This window comes from Homo sapiens, chromosome 3 (genome assembly GCF_000001405.40).
Source record: "Homo sapiens chromosome 3, GRCh38.p14 Primary Assembly".
Classification (NCBI taxonomy): domain Eukaryota; kingdom Metazoa; phylum Chordata; class Mammalia; order Primates; family Hominidae; genus Homo; species Homo sapiens.
Window position 1 is genome coordinate 149,573,816 of NC_000003.12, and position 21,648 is coordinate 149,595,463.

General features: G+C 40.8%; 1 protein-coding gene across 9 annotated transcripts in view, besides 3 other annotated features; it reads right to left on the reverse strand.

Annotated features, from left to right (window-relative positions):
* WWTR1 (WW domain containing transcription regulator 1) overlaps positions 1-21,648 on the reverse strand; it is a 207,554-nt gene that overhangs the window by 56,581 nt on the left and 129,325 nt on the right. The gene's annotated exons all lie outside the window — the stretch shown is intronic.
* Positions 354-980: an enhancer, noted in NCBI's record as "OCT4-NANOG-H3K4me1 hESC enhancer chr3:149291956-149292582 (GRCh37/hg19 assembly coordinates)". NCBI's record gives its function as "activates a minimal SCP1, AML or CMV promoter by ChIP-STARR-seq in naive H9 embryonic stem cells {active_cell/tissue: H9 hESC(naive)}" and the evidence as "EXISTENCE:reporter gene assay evidence [ECO:0000049][PMID:30033119]".
* Positions 981-1,607: an enhancer, noted in NCBI's record as "H3K27ac-H3K4me1 hESC enhancer chr3:149292583-149293209 (GRCh37/hg19 assembly coordinates)". NCBI's record gives its function as "activates a minimal SCP1, AML or CMV promoter by ChIP-STARR-seq in naive H9 embryonic stem cells {active_cell/tissue: H9 hESC(naive)}" and the evidence as "EXISTENCE:reporter gene assay evidence [ECO:0000049][PMID:30033119]".
* Positions 1,608-2,234: an enhancer, noted in NCBI's record as "NANOG-H3K27ac-H3K4me1 hESC enhancer chr3:149293210-149293836 (GRCh37/hg19 assembly coordinates)". NCBI's record gives its function as "activates a minimal SCP1, AML or CMV promoter by ChIP-STARR-seq in naive and primed H9 embryonic stem cells {active_cell/tissue: H9 hESC(naive and primed)}" and the evidence as "EXISTENCE:reporter gene assay evidence [ECO:0000049][PMID:30033119]".

The following is a 21,648-nucleotide window of genomic DNA, read 5'->3' on the forward strand; positions in this document are numbered from 1 at the left end:
TTCTAAGAAAGGTGGACATGGCCTCCAGCTTTGCCTACCACCTTCCAAATCACATTGCAGGTCACTCCTGGTACCTTAGAGACTCTGTCCCACTCCATCAAACTCTTCCTTTAGTGAAAGTTTGTGATATATATATATATATGATGAGTAGATTCATCCCGTTCCTCTACTTTGTTTTATAAACAGTATCAGAAATCTTCCTTCTCCTCCTTCTCCTTCTTTTTTGTTTTTTCGAGACATGATCTTGCTCTGTTACCCAGGCTGGAGTACAGTGGCATAATCATGGCCCATTGCAGCCCCGACATCCTGGGCTGAAGCAATCTTCCCACCTTGGCCTACTGAGTACCTGGGACCACAGGCACCTGCGACCACACCTGGCTCATTTTTTTTAAAAAATTTTTTTTGTAGAGGTGGGTGTCTCCTTATGTTGCCCAGGCTGGTCTCGAACTCCTGAGCTCAAGTGATCCTCCCACCTCAGTCTCCCAAAGTGCTGGGATTACAGGCACAAGCCACCGCACCCAGCCCAGTATCAGAGATCTTTCCATATCCATCAAAGACAACAAACATGATAGAAGAAACTGAATGTTAGCCCTTTGTTTTGGGCCTCACAACCAGGTGGGTCTCTTCCAGTCAGGCCCCCACCATTGACCTTCCTTAGACATACAACAAAAGGAGCATGATTGTTGTTTCTGTTAAACACACCTCACTTTTGAATAACAATGGCCTCCTTTGAATCTTTAAGGTAGGAAACCACTTTTACTTTCGTTATGTTTAATCAGTCTAGAAACTTCCTTGCATTGAAGTTGTATTTGTCTTGTTTTCTTTTCAGTCTGTCTCCTCATTTTTAAATGCTTCCTCTGCTAAAATTGTTATTCAGATTTCTTAATGCAAGACTTGAAGGTATTGCCAAGGGGAACTCATCCATTGCCTTGCGTGAAAACTTGGGTCTAAAGGTCTAAGGTTTTAGAATAAATGTGATTAAAAAAAAAAAAAAAAAGGCCGGGGGCGGTGGCTCACGCCTCTAATCCCAGCACTTTGGGAGGCCGAGGCGGGTGGATCACCACAGGTCAAGAGTTCGAGACCAGCCTGGCCAACATGGTGAAACCCCAGCTCTATTAAAAATATAAAAAGTAGCCGGCATGGTGATGCACGCGTGTAACCCCAGCTACTCGGGAGGCTGAGACAGGAGAATCGCTTGAACCCGGGAGGTGGAGGTTGCAGTGAGTTGGGATCATGCCACTGCACTCCAGCCTAGGCAGCAGAGTGAGACTCCATCCCCCCCAAAAAAAAAAGATGGGGAAATACTGAAGTAAAGAGATGAAAATCATTTCCCTAAGTATAAAGTAAATAATAATAAAAACAATAGTTTTAGTTTACACTTTCAGTTTCACAATTGTAGTTCTGTTTAAAGCTTTCATAAAATCCATCAACTTCTGGGCAGGTGGAAACTCATAGCCAGCCTCAGGCTTGTCACAGGCCTTCCAAGTGAGGAACTAATTGATGAGGATGTCAAAATTAAGTAACTCCCTTTAGCAAAATAATTAGACCTAAGAAATGCTTTGATTATTCCTTCAGAACTCATTCTATTAAAGCAGCATGTTTTCCAAGGCAGACATGTGCTACATAAATAGTTTTCACTCTGGTACCAGAAGGAAAAGAATCCTTCTCTCTTTCATAAACCTTTCTTAGACTCTCTGACATCATGGATATTGATGCTGTGCTAGAACCAACATCAGCACAGGCCCCGGTGAGATGTGGAAATATACATCATTTGCTGGAAGATGTTCAAGGACACTTCCGTGGTCAGAATTTCAGCTACCAGCTCTAGGAATAATACAGGAGCTGGAATGATGCATTCCTAAATGCTCGTCCCCCACTCTCCCCTCCCGTTCTGAACAAGTGGGCTGTGGCTCCTGAATGCGGCAAGAGCAGGAACATCTAGCATAGGAAGCCCAGCATCTGAAGTGGCAGATGAGCTCATCTTGCCCCAGGAGTGCCAGCACAGCTTGCCAGCCTAAATCCCCTGGGACAGAGTGTGGGGCCTTCTGGGTGGACCTCATCCTGACAGTTCTGACCGAGCTTACCCATGGCTTGAAGTCCCAGCACTCCTGCAGTGCAGTGGGAGCCTCCACGGCCCACCCTTCAAACTCCACACCCAGCCAACACATTTAAAGGAGTTTTGTTCCCAGTGGATTTGTTAATTAAAAGTGTCACTCACAGCATTCCCCAAAGGCTGGAGTACAAGAGGGAGCCTTTCTTAAGTGAGCAGTTCTCATTGCTCCAAAACAACTCTGAGAAGAAAGCCCAAATTCCTGGCTCTGCAGACCAGTCGACCTGACATCAGCTGTAAGGCTGCGCTAACATGGTGTCAAGAGTGGCTCCCAGGCTGAATGCAACAAGTAAGAGTGAGCTATTGCTCACAAGAGGCACTTAATACAGCCTTGATGATTTCATCTGAAAACTAAATTCTCCTATTGTTCTAATCACTTAGTGCCTCAGGCTCCAGCTCCCCCTACTTCCCACCACTTCCCAAACCCAGGATACGCCATTCACTCTTTCACTCTGCTGTCTCATCTCTGCTCCCTCTCTCAATGTTACTGAGTCATTTCCTTTCTCGTATTTCACAGTGTAATCTCAGTGTTTGCCAGGACCCACAATTTAGCTAGATTAATCCCCACTTCCCCGCTACTCCCACCTCCTTCCTGGCTTCACTCCCTTGCTTAGTCTACTTCAAGAAAAACTCTCTGCTGTTTTAAAAGTATAACTTCCCTTGGAAATGCACACACATATACAAATATATTTAACCTGCCTATATATGTGTATTGTATAAATACATACACTGTACAGGTTTCATATTTGAAAATGGAACAAAAAAGGAAAAAGAAACATATCAAACTATTTATGGTGATATATGCAAATAACAGGCTCACTGGTAATTTTTTTTTTCTTATCTAAACTGCTTTGTACTTTCCAGATTTTTAGCAGTGATTATGTATTGTTTTCACAACCAGTAAAAACAAAAATACTAATGAAGGTACAAAAAGACAAAAAAGAAAATTGATGCATGAATACACAGGTCATAAGGTATAAGCAGCACTTTGGGAGGCCGAGGTGGGCAGATCACCTGAGGTTGGGAGTTCGAGACCAGCCTGACCAACATGGAGAAGCCCTGTCTCTACTAAAAATACAAAATTAGCCGGCTGTGGTGGCACATGCCTGTAATCCCAGCTACTCAGGAGGCTGAGGCAGGAGAATTGCTTGAACCCAGGAGGCGGAGATTGTGGTGAGCCGAGATCGCACCATTGCACTCCAGCCTGGGCAACAAGAGAGAAACTCAGTCTCAAAGAACAAACAAACAAACAAACAAAAAGAGTTCCTGAAGATAAACTACACTTTTGGCTCCTATCTTCGTGTGGCTCAAATCAGGGGACAAATGGAATCAATCACCTGATCCCATGCTGTTTATAAAGAAAAAGAATAGCAGTTCCTACGGGGAAGAAAAGCTTTTCTTGACAGTAAACATTTTTTTCCTCGACTTAAAAAAAAGAAAAATCCTCTACAAGTGCTTCCCATGGAGAGCCCTGGTGGTATGTGGGGTTAACGGTACCTGTAACAAATATAAGCGGGAGTGGGCTTTTTCCCCTTCCTTCAAGAGCCCCTTGGACCACTACTTCCCAGACAGCCTCCTTCTCTCAGTCCCAGAAAGACCAACCAATTCCTGGCCTCCAATTACATTATGAGTCTCTGCTTAGAGAACTGCCCAGGTTGGACAAAAGCATGGAGTTTGCTAAGGGGCAAGAAAGGTCACCACGTCTCTGAGAAGATATTTGGCTGGAAATGGTAGGTTATGAAAAACCATGTCGTGTGAAATCAGTTTTCCCTCATGGATTAATATTTTCCTCCAGAAAGACGCAAATGTAGAAAGCCATTTTATTTAACAGGTAAATTGTGTGTTTGGGGTTAAAATGTTTTGAAATTGGTGGGGTGGCACTCCCACCCTCCAAGTCACCCTCCCCTCAGACTGGCCTCCCCATCAGCCTGCGGAGGGGGTGTTAACTTTGCTCCAGTTTCCTCCTCTCAAGCCACTGCTACCTCCTTCTACCTCCTTCATGACCTTTCACCTTGATGAGGGCAATGGCCTCTGGGCTTCCCTTCTGCCAATCTTTCTGGTTTTCCTCCCTTCCTCCTTCCCTCCCCCCACCCTCTCTGCCTGACAATCCATTCACTATCTCACCTCCAGGCACATATCCCAAGGACACCTGGTATCCAAGTCCCCCTGGGTCACCATGGCCCATGAAATAACAGCACAACTCACATAGGCATCTCCCAGACACAGCAGCCTACTGCCAGACTCTGTGGGCTCTGCAAAGACCACACGCAGTTGTGGAGTCACATATACCTGGGTGCCCGGGTTTAATATTAGCTCTGACCCTGTGTGATCTAATTGGATATCCTAGTCACACTACCCATATGCATGAGACAGGGGTAAAAAAGCTAACAATATACTGGTTCCTCACTGTGAGGATAAAGCAGGTCTGTTCTGGGAATATTATGACCACCAAAGTCACTTACAGATTTCATGGCCAGTTCTCCTGGCTTCCCAAACTCACTCAGCAGTGAGTGCAGAGAAGGCAGCTCTGGCCTTCCAAGGTTGGCAACACTTGGTTCAAGTTTTTTCAACAACCATAGATCGTATACCTATTATGCATGATGGGTGATGTACTGGTTAGGTGTAAAAATCAAAAACATTGTGCAAACATAGTAAAGGCAAAGATAAAAATCTTATCTGTAAAAATAGAATAATCAGGCCGGGCACAGTGGCCTGTAATCCCAGCACTTTGGGAGGCCGAGGCGGGTGGATCACCTGAGGTCGGGAGTTAGAGACTAGCCTGGCGAACATGGAGAAACCCTGTCTCTACTAAAAATACAAAATTAGACAGGCATGGTGGTGCTACTCGGGAGGCAGAGGCAAGAGAAACACTTGAACCGGGGAGGCGGAGGTTGCAGTGAGCTGAGAGAGCGCCATTATTGCACTCCAGCCTGGGCAACAAGAGTGAAACTCCATCTCAAAAAAAATAAAATAAAATAGAATCCTCCAGCTTCTTACCACCCAGGAAAAGGCCTGGTGTTTTTGGATGAATTTACCCACACTAACTTTATGATGAAGGAAGCCGTATAACAAGGACTTTCTGAAATAGAGAATCCCATGTAATGTATTTTGTATTGCTGGAAGCATACAAAGATATAAAAATAGGAATGATTACAAGTGCTTCATTTTGAAAGAATTTAAAACTATTAGCAGCATGTTGCTTATTTCTATGGGCAAAGATTTTGTCTTCAAACATAAGTGTTTTGTCTTTTTTCTGCCCACCATTTATTTAATAAATGAGAGTTTCATACAGTGTCAGACATCAGGGCTCCCCTCCATCAGCAGAGTGGTTAGGACGGGACCTGGAAGCAGCCTCCAAACTGCCTCTTCTTTTGCCACAACCTAGCTGAGCAGTTAAAGAGAACCACACCAATGAGATGAGAATTTAAAGACAGCCTGGGGTCATAAAACCAAGGCAGACTGGTTTAAAACTCAATCATACTCACTGCTCCCTGTCTTCATCCCCTCAGTGAAATTCCTCTGTAGCCTCTGTCCTTACTACCTCCTTTTTTCTCTTCCAGTAGAATACAAGCTCTTCCAGAAGAAATGTTCCACAGATAATGCTAGCCAGGTGTGGTGGCTCACACCTGTAATCTTAGCACTCTGGGAGGCTGAGGCGGGAGGACTGCTTGAGCCCCAGAGTTGGAGACCAGCTTGGGCAACATAAAAAGACCCTAGCTCTTAAAAAACAAAAAAGAAAAAAAGCTGCCAAGCCTATGATATTTACAATCCCCATTTAAGTATAAGCAAACTGTCTTATTTCAGAAAATCAGATTTTTAAAACTTTTTTGATTTACTAGGCCAATTCACCATCCTCTTAATGTTAAAACAAATGTACATACTGAAGACAATTAGCTTAAAATTTGCTAAATGAAACAGCTTTGCAACTTGCTTCTTGTGACTCAGTCCAATTAGACCCACTAGTGTTAAAAATGGAAACTGAAACAGATTTGGATGAGGTTGATAAATTCCCAGATAGGGCCTGCCAAGTAAATCTGACCCACTGTCAGTAGACAACAAATGCTATGCCAATTTTTAATCCTGTACCAGATGGCAAGGAGTCTTGCCGAAGACTTATATTAAACTTTTAAAATTTTCCTCAACTGGAATTAGAATACAAGTATGCAAAAGGTGGTTTACTTTCTCGTTGTATGTTGGGGATAAATACTGTTTGCATTTAAATCAAATTAAACATTCTATTAGTGTGATCTTATTTAGATTTCAAGACCTAGGAAATGACATATATCTTACTCATATCTTACATTTCTTTTAGTAGTACCTTTTGTTTTGCCAACGGTACTTAGCTCTGCTAACCAACACCAGAGATGAGTCTTAACCACAAGAACAAAGACAGGGGTGGTATGCACACTTACTAATTCTCCCAGGCCCAGATGCACACTTTCTCCAGGTAGTCCCTCTGCTGTCACCTAAAACCACAATGCAATGGGAGCTGAGCACAGTGGAAGCCCATTGCAGTGGGAGCCCATTGCAGGAGAAACCCCAGGGAGCTCATCACAGAAGGGAGGCCACATCACAGAGGGAGCCCATGACAGTAGAAGCCCCATCGCAGTGGATGCTCAGCTCACCACCCACATCTAAACTAGCAACCCGACCTGATCATGTTTGTAATACTAAGATTAGGTTTTTTGTTTGTTTGTTTGTTTTTGAGACGGAGTTTCGCTCTTGTCACCCAGGCTGGAGTGCAATGGTGCGATCTCAGCTCCCTGCAGCCTCTGCCTTCCGGTTCAGGCAATTCTCCTCCTTTAGCCTCCCAAGTAGCTGGGATTATAGGCGTGTGCCACCACACCTGGCTAACTTTTGTATTTTTAGTAGAGATGGGGTTTCACCATATTGGCCAGGCTGATCTAAACTCTTGACCTCAGGCCATCCACCCGCCTCAGGCTCCCAAAGTGCTGGGATTATAGGCGTGAGCCACCGCGCCTGGCGACAATATTAAGATTAGTAGCCATCCAGTACATTGATCTCCTCTGCTTAACGTTATCAGTCTATTTGCATAATGTGGAGTCGGCTTTTGAACTTCGATATGTTGACAATCAGAAATAAAGTAATAGCTCTTCACATGGTTGAAGAGATACATAGCTTAGGTTTTACTGTATTTCTAGAAACCCTAATCAATCTTCCTCCCACGTTGTCATTCTTTCTACCACCCTAATTAATAATTCTTTGTCCCAAGGCAGCTTTTAAAACACTATTATTGGTTATAATGATTCTTCCATTCTGCCCAAATCCTAAACGGCACCATCTCCTGCTATTTTTAATGCATCAGAATAGAAGATACAAAGAGGTAAAAGTCAAGCTGCCAATGTGCACAGCTGACACATCTATTAGCAAAGCATTCAGAGTTTAAACCCCAAAGCTATTAAAAAAAAAAAAAGACTCATGCCATATAATAAAGGTGACTCTTCACACAGCAGAAATGTGTTAGATGAGAAAGTTCATCCTTCTTTGAAACCACAAAGAATTTATAGTTGAAAGTTTCCGGTCAGATTTTCACTTAAGCAGCTCATCAAACATAGCTGCAGTCTATGACACAGAAATAATAACTGATATATAAATAGGGGATTTTTTTAGGATCCTCTAATAAAAGATGATACAAGACCAGAGAAGTTATTTCAGTGTATGGTTCCGGTCTCTACCATTCACTTGCCAATTCAAAAAATTTCAGCATTCTCTGGAATTCTGAATGAATGGCAGGGATTGTATTTTTAACTACCAGGCTCTAATCCTCGACTTCCCTCACAGACTTGCCAAGAAGTTTCCACTTGTTTAAGTTAGCAGCAGTAGGCACAGCAGCCATGTGAAAGGTCTCCTAGTGCCTCTGCCCTGGCCAGCTGTGGTGATCCATCTCCCTCACGTCCTTCCCACTGAGCACCACCGACTTTTCTGCAGACTCATTCTGTCTGAACCTACTCAGTCAGGCAGAAGCTGAGTCAAGCAAAGCTGCTGTCAGCCCCAAAGAGCAGATGAGCCAAATCAGGACTGTAATACCCGTGGTTCCTGCAGGGATTCATTTACCAGAGTTTTGTCCCTGGGGTGGGAAAAAAAAGTGGCACTGTGAAGTGCCACTTCCCAGAGAAAACCACTTTGGAAGGCTGGTGACTCATCAAGACAGCCCCAGGTGTGACTCAGGAGCCTCACTTCAGAAGGTGAACAGTTCAGTCACTGTGTTAGAGACACCCCGTCATATGCTGCACGCACCCCAACAGCACCCGGCCCTGGCAAGCCTCACTTTGCCTCTGCAAACTGAGCAAAATTCTTGCTTAACCTCATTTTTCCTATTTTGTGAAAACATAAGAAGGAAAAAAAAAAAAGGACTGGGAGTTTCTGTTGCTTGTTTGATTTGGGCCAAGAGCCATATTAAAGAACTTTGGCTGCGTTGCAAACAATTTTATTATTAGTACCAGCATTTTTTTTTCTCCTCTCATGCCAGGATCAATAATGCTATTAAAAAATGTATAGTCCAGACACAGTGGCTCACGCCTGTAATCCTAGCACTTTGGGAGGCTGAGGCAGGAGGATTGCTTGAGCATAGGAGTTCAAGGCCAGCCTGGGCAACATAGGGAGATCTTATCTCTAAAAAAAAAAAAATCAAAATATGAGTCGGGCGTGGTGGTATATGCCTGTGGTCCCAGCTTCTTGGGAGGCTGAAGCGGAAGATTACTTCAGCCTGGGAGGTCGAGGCTGCAGTGAGCCGTGATCATACCACTGCACCCCAGTGTGGGCGGCAGAGCAAAACTCTGTCTCAAAAATAATAATAAAATAAAATAAATAAAAGATGTATAAATCACCTTAAGTTTATTGTGTTGGAACTCCACAACAATGTGAGAGTCTATTTCACGATATTATTTCCAGATGTCAAGTATAAAATATGTACTTGGTAGAGTCTTTATTTCACTTTTCTCCTTTCTCACAAACAAAAACATGGGATGAGAATCAGAAGTAGAGAAAAGATGAGACGCTTTATGAATGGTGAATTATTATTACTCTTATTTTTTTCTGAGATGGAGTTTCACTCTTTCAACCAGGCTGGAGTGAAGTGGCACAATCTTGGTTCACTGCAACCTCCGCCCCTCAGGTTCAAGCGATTCTCCTGCCTCAACCTCCTGAGTAGCTAGGATTATAGGCGTGTGCCACCACACCTGACGAATTTTTGTATTTTTAGTAGAGGCAGGGTTTCACCATGTTGGCCAGGCTGGTCCTGAACTCTTGACCTCATGTTATCCACCCGCTTCGGCCTCCCAAAGTGCTAGGATGACAGGCATGAGCCACCACGCCCAGCCACATGAATAGTGAATTCTAGAATAATTAATAGGAAGTGGAATGTATTCATCCATTTTTTCATTAGACAAGTATTTACAGTGGGGTACATCTTCCATAGGGATTCAGTTCCAAACTCAGTTTTCTTTTGTTTGAAAGAGATGCTGCCCAGGCTGGACTCCAACAGTTGGGCTTAAGTGATCCTCCTGCCTCAGCCTCCCGAGGCTGGGTCTACACATGCGTGCCACCTTGCTCTGCTCCCCAAAATCAGTTTTGGCAAATGTGGAGTGTGGTAAAAATTACCACTGAAAAACTTTTGAATATACAGTCCACTAGGCTTTGTGTACATTATATTATCTTTCAGTAAGCCCAATGCAGCCAGTTTCTTCCAGGGTTAGAATATGGTGCTATTTCTACACCCAAGATCCAGATGAAGTGATGCTGTACCCAAATATGTATGTCGGGATTTGCTAGGCACTCAGTGATGAATTCACGACACTTCAACATGCATACGGTGATGAGTGCCTGTAATACCTAGGCCCTCAAGGAGCTGGCAGTCAAATGAGCAGGGAGAAGGTGGCAGTGAAACAACGAGCAGTATGGTGGTAAACAGCACAGACTCTATTGTTTTTGTTATTATAAATGGTCCAGAGCCTGACACTCTGTCTCAACAGCTGTATGTTAGAAATGTTTCCCATATCAACTGCATCTAACATCTAGGAATCAGCTTCAATCTCACAATAAGTCTTAAAAAGAAGTTAGTATTTTAGAGTAGCCACTAAGCTACTCTAAATGCTAAAATACTTTGACAATTGTTTTTCCATGCTCTCTGTGCCTAACACGTTTTTAACATGTTGTTTTTTCCAGTTGTTCTTAAATGGGACACTGACCCAGTGCTTGGCTGCTCCGAAGCCACTCCAAATGTGAAATATGTCGAAGCTAAAGCTGCACTGCCCTCCTTTCTCTTCTTTCTAATGGGGCCAAGTGAATTAAATGTCACTCATCCCAAAAAAGAAGGCAAATCCTCTTTAAAACCAAAAATTCTTTTGGGTTAGGCTAGCTTCTCCTCTATTCATGTGAAGAGATTTAATTCCTTTTTGTTGGTTTTGTTTTTTTCAATTCTGGGAAGAGGATGAGCCACCCTGGCTCTGGCCATCAGAGCCACTTTCTTTTTGCACATGTTTGAAAGGCATGACACAACTTGAACTGGAAAAAGGGCTGGCATGAACCCCGGCATCTCAAGAGAGACTAGAGGTGCTTTTCAGAGTGAGGTTCCCATTTTGCAAGAAATTATTTGGAGGATCAAAGACAAAAACTGAGGCATCGAAAGGGACCAACTTAGGCTTCAGAGGAAGGGGAGAGTGCTACTGGGGACCTTGAAAATAATTATCAGGAAACACAGCTTATGGTTCACATTTCAAACCCAGCCTACAATGTTTCTTTACGTGTATTTCTTGGCATCTTCAGTCGAAAATATCACCCAAATGAGGCAGAGTGGTACAGTGGATTTGAGATCTGTTTCTGCCATTAACTGACTAAGAGACTACTGTAAGTAACATCTCCAAGCCTTGGTCTCCTCCAATGTAAAATGGGCATAAGAACATCCATTACATGAGGCTGTTTTGAGAATTTCATCAAATAACAAAAGTAAAGCACCTAGCACAGTGCCGGATATGCATGACACACTATAAATATTAGTTCCCTTCCTTTCCCTTGTGAAAATCTATCCAAACTGTTTAAAGGGATCTGAGTAATTCAAATGCAAAAAAAGAAAAAAAATCAATAAACACCTTATAGTACAATGAACACAAGAAAATGGAGAGAAATAATGGTAGACATCAATTTACTGCAAAAACTACAGATATACTTGATTTCTTTCGTGTGTGTGTGTGTGTGTGTGTGTGTGTGTGTGTTTAAGATGGAGTTTCACTCTTGTCACCCAGACTGGAGAACGATCTCTGCTCACTGCAACCTTCACTTCCCAGGTTCAAGTGATTCTTTTGCCTCAGTCTCCTGAGTAGCTGGCACTACAGGCATGCGCCACTACGCCAGGCTAATTTTTTTGTATTTTTAGTAGAGACGGGGTTTCACCATGTTGGCCAGGCTGGTCTTGAACTCCTGACCTCAGGTGATCTGCCTGCCTCGGCCTCCCAAAGTGCTGGGATTACAGGCATGAGCCACTGCACCTGGCTGATATACTTGATTTCATATAGTCGAGTAGTTAAGTAACAATTGACTCAGAGACAAAAATATTCTTAAAACACAGGTCTAGCTAACCACAAGTCTCACATAGTTCCCCCACCAGCACCCCACAATTTTTTTTTTTTTGCATTCTAATAATAGCAACTCTCAGATTCAGTGTGAGAGGCAGCCAAAGCTGCGATTCCTTTACTGCCCTTGTTGGTAATGAGTGCCTTGGTGGTAATGAGCATCTCATGTCAGCACAAGATTTTCTCTCCCATTTAAAGTAGAAAGGGGACTTCAGCTTGCAGTAAAAAGCACAGTAAGATTGAATGCAAGCAAAAGAATATGTAATGGATTTCCATTTTTCCTAATAAAGAAATGCTCAAGAAGTTTTAATCTAATTTAATTTTTCTAATAATTTACAAGGAGATAATAGTTCCAAAATGTGAGGGGACATACCAGGTACAGAAATGCAGGAAGCCTTGAAGGTTCTATGACTTCAACTAATGGAAAAACAGATTTAGCCTAAAAAATGCTGTTGTTTTTAAACAAGTATGTTTATGCAAACTCCAAACAGTAAGTATCTTTGTACCCACAAGTGGATGTTAATAAAAAATACATGATTGATTTAATTTTTTACTTAACAAAGTACAAAAATATGTACCTGTTTCAATTATGACTTCAAACCCCATCCTTCTTCATGAAAGTAGCAGATAAAAATCATATAAAATCAACATCTATTTGTGCGTATATAACTTTTTGTTTTGATATACCTTTAAACTTATAGGAAAGTTGCAAGAATATATACGGCACGGCCATCTACTGATTCACCAACTTTTTTTTTTTTATTTAAGTTAGTAGCATTAGAATAATCACTTGTTTCTAAATGATCCCTCAGTGATAGTAATCCTTTGGCTGGTCACTTTTCTAACTTTGAAGAGAAGTGAGTTTTATTCTGTAACACTCGCAAGATAAAGAAAGATGAAAAAAAGCTAATATAAACCAATTTGAATAACCAAATCGGGAAACCATGTGTGATATTGTGATATATTAAGAAATAAATCTCTGTCACCATTGCCGATCTAGAGTTCCTATAACCCTTGTAGATAGGGGTGCTAGGAGAATCTTTGGTTTTAATATTTGGTCTTTGACTTCGGCTCCTGACACAGAGCTTCTAATCCCTTGGAATTTTCTGGGTGATAGGAACTTCTCTTGTTTTAATGAGGTGACTGTTGGTGGGCTCCTACATAGCCTTAGGAAGGGGCTGGTTGCCAGGGGGAACCAACCACATGGCTGGAGGATTCGAACTTTCAGTCCCACACCACATCCCAACCTTCAGGGAAGGGAAGAGGGGCTGAAGGATGAGCTGATCACCAGTGATGAAATCAATTATGCCTATGTAATAAAGCCTCCATAAAAATCCATAAGGATAGGGTTCAGAGAGCTTCTGGATAGCTGAACATGTGAAGGCTCCTGGAGGGTGGCACATCCAGAGAGGGTGTGGAAGCTCCAAGTACCTTGTCCTATGTATCTCTTCCACCTGGCTGTTCATCTGAATCCCTTGTAACATTCTTTCTAATAAATGGGTAAAAGTAAGTGAAGTGTCTCCCTGAGTTATGTGAGTCATTCTAGCAAATGGATCAAATCCAAGGAGGGAGTTAGTCAGAAGCACAGGTCACCACCTGTAGCTTGCAATTGGCATCTAAAAAGGTGGGCTGGAGGGGGTGCAGTCTTGTGGGACTAAGCCCTTAGCCTGTGAGATCTGATACTATCTCTGGGTAGGTAGTGTCAGAATTGAATGAAATTACAGGACACCCAGTTGGTGTCTGCTAGGGAATCGGAAGTGCTGTGTTGGATGGTGTGTGAGGGTAAAAAGAAAAAAGTTTGATTTTTTTTTTCCCTTCAGACCTGGTGACACCAAGTTTTTTGATAAAATCTAAAGTAATAACATTTCAGCAGTAATGATGATGACCCCAATGTCCTTCCACTGAAGGAGAAAACAGACCCCACCCAAAAGGTGGGAAGCGCCGGCAGATGATTCCTTTATTTATGGAGCTGCTGATGGTCACACCACGGTGTAATACAAACATTTCTGTCTAAACACTAACTTGGGCAGAGCCACTTTTACACTGTGCCTTGTATTTAATTGACAGGAAGTTTTTCAAAACAGGAGAGAGCTGCCTTACTTTGATTAATGTATTAATTCAACTGGCAACCTCCAAATAAGTTTTCTTAGGAGTAGAGGAAATACGTGCGAATAACATTAAAATGTCCTTCCAGTGCTTGGAATGAATATTCTACTTGTACAGACATAGATTTTGAAGACAAAATTGTAAATAGTAAAATCTCCACCTCACTCTTTATAGAATGTATGATTTAATAAACAAAAGAAAAAATGCAGCTTCAGAAAAATAGCTTTAAAAATGCCCATAAAATGCACACAAAAGAACCTGAAAACTTACGGCGGGTTATTCTCGCATATTACTAGACTTAACTTGGTACCATCTTTCTGAAGAGCAGTATATCAATATGCAACAAAAACCTGGGAAAAGCTTTGATCCAGTAAGTCCATTTGCACAAAGCTTTTATTCCCAGAAAACAATTAGATGGGAATGACAGAGATGGTTGTTGCTTTGGAATATCTGCTCTCCCTTTTTAGGTGCTAAGTATTGCCAAGAGACTAAGTTCTAGACAATGAACAGAAGTGCTGTGTGGGCTTCTGGGAAAGGTTTTTAAACGGAAGCAATAGACATACGTTTCTGCTTCCCACCCTTCCATCTTTTCTCCAGCCTGGCATATGAACGTGATGGCTGGAGCTGCAGCAGACAGCTGGAATTATGAGGAATGGAAGCCACTCAGTAAGAACAACTAAGCAGAAAGGTGCAGCGGAGCCAGCAAACCAGCTCTTGAGTTCCTTAATTCAGATTTCCTTAATGTTAGAGAAATAAATGATCTCATTTCGCATCCCTGTAAATCACAAACATGACTCCAAACCAATACAAGTATGCAGAATGTATGCTTAAGGATGTCCACAGCGGTTTTGTTTCTATCTTTAGTGTATGATGATAGAATGGTTAAACAAATTATGGTACAGTCAGACAGTGGAAGACTGAACAGACATGATAAATTACATGGATCTGTATTTGCTAAAATATATTGTGGGAGTGAACATAATCCCGTTTTGGTAAATAGAACACATATGAACAAGGGGGAAGTAGGCTTTATTCATATCTTTACATTTCTTTGTTCTTTTTGTACAATAAGCATTATTTTTCTAATCAGAAAAAAAATGAGAAAGCTATCCTCCCCCCAAAATGAACCCATTTCCTGCTTAAAAAATGATGCTGCATTCCACATTTGAACCTATACCTGCTCATTACAGCCTCTGAAAATAATTCCACAGCTATAGTGCAGGACTGAAAATCTTGTCTCTGCCTTAACTGTGAGTTGGAAAAGGCGCCACCATAATACTCCCATGAGTGCTTAGCCTAAAGGTGCTCTGAACTAGAGAGAGGCACAAAAGGGGGAAAAATGCAATAGAAGGAAGGGATAAAGAGGATCAAGGGAAGTTCTATAATTAAGCAATATTTTACGGCTGCCTCTGGCAGCTGTTTGAGTGAGCGGGAGAATCTAAACGAGGTGTCAACAGACACAGGAGCTGCCCTCTCCTTGGGCAGATCCAGCAGGGCCTAGCATGTCCTGTACTTCACAGGACAATCTGGGGCATCTTATATCCAGCACCTGTCAGCCTGGGAGACTCCCAGCTGCAATACTGTTATTGCTGTCATCTGCCTAATCCAGAAGGGAGCGGCATTTATTGTATCTAGAAAGAAAGATTAGGCTAAAATATATTTGACTGTTCTTATGAAAGAGAATGCATGCCTCACGTAACTGTGTTTGTTTTCTTCTTGTCCCTCCTGACTTTTTCTGTTTTTATCAAAGGAAGAAACCTACTCTTGCAGCTGTATTTTTCATTTTTAACCCCCACGTTAATCATATATTCACAACAAATAATGGTTTAAATTTAGTCTGACGACCAGCCACAAGGCTCCTTCTCATCCCACTATGAGGCACATCCTGCCTTCAGACTCTTTACGCAATCCTCATTGACTTGGAGAGGAACCCCGTGCAATGAGTTAAACAGGATATAGACCATCATAATTACCAGAGGAAATGGTATTTTCTTTACAGGATACATTTAGATTTTTCCTTTCCATGAGTTTTTTTTTTTTTTAATGGTGTTAAAATGAAAGGAGACTTTAAAGCAGCTTTCAACTTCTCAGTAGCCCCAACTATGGACTAAATGCAGAAGGCCTTACACACAGCAGACATTAAAAAACTACTCATAGAATAAGTGACTGAATTAAAGGAATGAATGAATGAATGAATGAACATATTTAATGGGTTTACTTCGACAAATCATTTTGCTTCTAGGTATCAAATATAACAGTTGAATCTTATTCACATCATATATGTTTTTATCTGTAAGTACTCATAAAACTAATCTAGGAAGATTTGTTCCTTACTTGCCCCAGAAAGGAACAAATTCTAGAGAATGCTGTCACATTCTATTAAACAAATTAAGTCATTCTCAATTCATTCCTGTTGATTCTGCAAACTGCTCGGCTGAGCCTCTACCAGGTACTATACACCATGGGTCCTGAAAGTCCACCATATCTAGCATACAATAGACACTAAATAATAAATGTATGTTGAATGAATTGCTACTTATATTCCTAATAATGACAATCATGGTAATAATGATAGTTACAATAATAATTATTCATATTAATTATTAGTCATAATATTCACAATAACCATGCTGTTAATGTCTGATAATAATAGTTGACATTTATATACCATTTTATGGCTTCAAAAATGATCTTAACTTGATCATTACATAACAGGCTTACTAATCTCTGTTTTTAAGAAATAAAAATGGGCCGGGTGCGGTGGCTTACACCTGTAATCCCAGCACTTTGGGAGGCCGAGGCAGGCGGGTCACCTGAGGTCAGGAGTTTCAGACAAGCCTGGCCAACGTGGTGAAACCCCATCTCTACTAAAAATACAAAAATTCACCAGGCATGGTGGCGGGTGTAATCCCAGCTACTCGAGAGGCTGAGGCAGGAGAATCGCTTGAACCCGGGAGGTGGAGGTTGCAGCGAGCCGAGATCATGCCATTGCACTCCAGCCTGGGTGACAAGAGGGAGACTCCGTCTCAAAAAAAAGATACAGAAACAGAGTTGGGTGAAGTAAACCTACTTAATAAGTTCTTAGTTTCCATGTGGCAGAGCAGAGTCAAATCTTGTTCTCATAATAAGGTCTAGGGCTTTTTCCATGATACAATACTGCCTTGTGAACCCAAAGAGGCTGACGTGCATAACTTGGGCCATTAGGAAGGAAGGAAAAGGGGAGGTGGACCGTCAGCACTGCTGATAGCCTGACTTTGTCCTGGAACAATATCTCCTGCAGGCTTGGTCCTCCTCTTGCTTCAATAACACACCACCATCCCTCCTTGTCCCTCCTGAAACCCTTGAGTCACACAGTATGTCAACTTGCCTGCAAAACTTAGCTTTTTTTTTTTTTTTAACACCCTGGTTTTAATTAGGCATATCCTGTCAAGAAAAGGGACTCTTGTGACAATAAAACAAATTAGGTCCATGTGATCCTGTAGTTGTTAGGGAGAAAGGAAAGAAAGAAATACAAATACTACTTAAAAAAACATAAATACAAAGCGGAACGCCAACTCTCCACTATGACCTAAAAGGAAGAGGTAAAAGGACTCTGAAGATAGATTTGGAGATGCAAGGCAACAGCTGAATATGCCATGAGCAATGCTGGAACCCTAAGCCAGAGCTGGGGATGTGATTCTTAAGGCCCTGCCACTTGGAAAGCCAAAACCTGTTCCTTCAGAAGCCAGTCTCTGATAGTAACTTTAGCCTAACTTGCCTTCCATTTTTATTAATGCTTTTAATATCATATTGCCTTTAGTTTTTATTAATGTTTTCATTATTTTAATAACTAGGGAAAATATTCAAATAGGGCTGTTGTATAAAATGTGTTCAGTCTATAATAAGCTATGTAACCAGCCTTTATAATTGACTATATAACTGTAATTACTTAACTAAAATTCAAGATGTACATTCACTTTTCCTAAATTTTCTCTAAACAAAAAAAAGTAGTAGAGATAAATTCCAATTTTTCTAAGAAATTACCTTTTCATGATAATATCTTATGTTTTAAAACATTTACACAAAAAACATTTTTGCAATGTATTCTGAAATTAAAAATAGTTATATTAGAAGAAACATTTCATTCTGGGTTAGGAATTGTAGTCATTTTAAATGACTTGAGAAAAAAGTTCATGTTTAAATACTCAGACCCGTAATAAATATATTAATACAAAAGTGCGGGAAAATGTACAAATGTTATCATATGTTGCCAAATGTGAGAAACATTGCGGGAGGGGGTAGGAGAAAGAATTAGTGAATACAAAGTCATTGTGAATTCAGCAAAGGGAGAGACACTTCTGATTCTGCCAACTGCATCTGGTATTTCCACCTAAAATCTACTTCTCCGGTAACAAATGCTTTCAGGTTCAACCAGACTGTGAGGAGACACAGCTATGGGGCAAGGTAACCTCAATGATGTTCTATAAAACATCAGTCCTAGAAGATAATCCCCCTCACCCCTGCACCCAAAAGGGTTCTGTTATCAAATAAGTATGGAAAACACTGAATGTTATATTCCTCTCCTAATATTTATACAATACATATGCATATAAAAGATTCTAGTTTTCAATTAGCTTAATCCCACATTTCTGTAATTCATTTTATGTGTAACTTTTTTCACTTAATTATTACTATCCTATAGAATACATTTTAAGAAGTTGCAAAATATACTATTTATGGTATTTATTACAAGCATGACTTCAGATTCAACAGCATTGTCTGAACACACACTGTGCTTCTGACACTATGGCAATATTTTATACCCAACTGACCAGAACTAAAAAAACTACAGGCGTTCCTATCCAAAGGCACTGAATAAATGTAAGTACAATGCTATGAAGCCCTGATGCCAAAGCATCCCAACGACAAAGTTCATTCAAAGCAGAGCTAATATAGATTAGAGAGATTAATCGGCATATATCAGAATATATATATACAGGCATATATGTATGTGTATAAATATATATACATATGTAAAACACACATGTAAATTTCCATATAGCTTGAAATTAACTTGTGTTTTTAAAAAGTGACCTGAACTGTTTATACCCAGAAAGCTTTTAATCGTCCGCTGTATTTTAAAATCAGGAGCCTGTATCTATTCTTAGTGTGCTTTCGAAATAAAGCTTCCCTTGGTTCGGGGTCACAGCTGCTGCAAAGCACTCTGGGTGGCTCCTCTCCATCCCTTTGAAACAGCTGGTGGGAACCTAGTATAAGGCCTTGAACCCAGCTGTTCAATCTTACTTTCTAACTTTAGCAAGTCCCTTCTCCACTAATGTCACTGGGGCATGCCACATTGAAAAACACACCAGAGATGGTAGATTCCTATCCCTGCTAAAAAAAACTCCAGGCACACCGAGCCAAGTTACACTCATGTACCAATCACAGTATCACCCAGATACCGACTGCAGGATCCGCGTGATCTGATTTAGGCTGGGCATACCAATGATTTAAGAAGGCTTCCCTAGACACCACAAATAGGCATGCTGCCATCACTCCTGCCAGTTCAGTGCATTAGAAAGTTACCGACTACCAGTGGCAGAGCCCCACAACGTAGAATCGAGAAGACCATGAAAACCAACCTCAGATTCAAAAGACTTGCACATACAATGTGCTGTCTGGTGGCTTTTGTCTCCACAATGTTAATGCACCGTACACTACTCATGAAGCCCTCATAATGTAATTACTTCTATTTAATTGATTGTACATGCCCTCGTCTTAGTTTTCTTTCTTTTTTTTTTTTTAATTGCATGCTCATTGTAATTACTTGCCCCAAAGCCAGGAGATTTCAGAAATATTTGACTGTTTATTACCCTTTGAGAATTACTAATTAAAATAATTTCCTTCAGTGAAAAGGGTTGCTCTTTTCCTGATTCCACTTCGACACTGCTCACCACTGAAGAGAACTCTAAGAATGCCTTGCTAAGCTCCCCTGTAATTGACTGCCTCCTTTGTTAACACATGCGTGGACTTAAAAAACATTAAACGACTTATACAAATGGAAACAAAATGCTCTTTGAGTTCTATTGATAACTTAACCTTTAGTGTTTTGGATGAAATCCCAATTCTAGGGAAGCAGGGGGAGCCATTGAATGAAACCATTATGTAAAACATTGTTGTGGGAATTATTTTGTGTGAAAATATATACAGTATATCATTTAAAATGTCTTTGAAGGTGGGCTTTCAAAATACCTAATTAAAATATACATATTTTGTATGGCTTCTCTACTTCGTGCTTCCTTTTTCAGGGAAAGAGAAGAAATTTGCATAAGGCAAATGAACCCATGACGCTGGATGTTAGAGTAGGTACCCTTGGGGAATCTGGAAGGGGCGCTTTTTGGAGCTGGGAAAAATCCTGTTTCTTGGGTCAGAGACCTGCTTACGTGGGTGTGTTCAATTTGTGCAAATTCATCAAGCCGTTTATTTATGGTTTGTATACTGTTCTACAAAAATTCTACTTCATTTCTTAAAGTAATCAAGAGAAATTACCTCCATTTTTTTCAAGTAATTTGTATAAAAGACAAAGGGATGTAGTTTCCATATAGCAGAAGCCTAAGAATTACTCTGAGGCATTTACAAGGAATAGAAATTAAGACTGTGGTCAGGGGGCCTCTCTGAACTTATTCTGGTTTAGGAGTTCCCCCTCCCCCTCAAAAAGACTGTAATTGATTTTTCTATGTCGATTTTTTTTAAATGGTGTACAATATTTGGTTTGAGCAAGCCGATGTAAAAAAACACATCTGAGACCATTAGGAATATTTGAATATGTACTGGATATTAAATAATATTTTAAGAAATTATTGCTTCTATCCTGATAAGATACAATAAGAAATTCACAAAATCATTTATGCTGTATTTTTGTGAAAAATTTTAACCTAATTTAATCATAAAGAACCCATCGTGTGTGATAGTGGTCTAAAGTTTTTTTCAAAACAGGTTAAGACGAAAAACAAACAAAATGGTCAAGGGGAGAGACACTTTTTGAATCAGGAGAAACATAATTATTACTAAATGCAATATGTGAATCTGATTGGATCCTGCACTGGGGAAAACAGACACACACACAAACACACACACACCACACACACACACACAGAGCTACAAAAGACATTTTTGGAACAACTGGGGGAATTTGAATAAGGGCTAAATATTAGGTCATATTATTGTACTAAGGTTAATTTTCTTGGGTATAATAATAGAATTTGTTATGGTATAAAAGAATGTCTTATTCTTAGGAAATGCATTCTAAAGTACTTAGGGAAAATCTCATATTGCCTATAACCTCTTTTTTACTTTTTTTTTTTTTTTTTTTTTTTTTTTTTTGAGACGGAGTGTCGCTCTGTTGCCAGGCTGGAGTGCAGTGGCGCGATCTTGGCTCACTGCAACCTCTGCCTCCCAGGTTCAAGCGATTCTCCTGCCTCAGCCTCCCTAGTAGCTGGGACTACAGGCATGCACCACCACGCCCAGCTAATTTTAGTATTTACAGTAGAGACAGGGTTTCACCATGCTGCCCAGGACGGTCTCAATCTCTTAACCTCGTGATCCACTCACCTCGGCCTCCCAAAGTGCTGGGATTACAGGCATGAGCCACCGCGCCCAGCCTTGCCTATAACTTCTTTTGGAAAAAGGTTAACAATTGCTGAACCTAGATAAAGAGCAAACTCTCTTTCAACATTTTTTCAGGTTTGAAAATGTTCAAAAACAAAAGAAAAAAATAGGTTATTGTTGATTTTGTCACACATGTAAATAGTAATTTTGTTATGTAAGAAAATGTTCTTCTTTTTTAGAGGCAACTATTTAAGTATT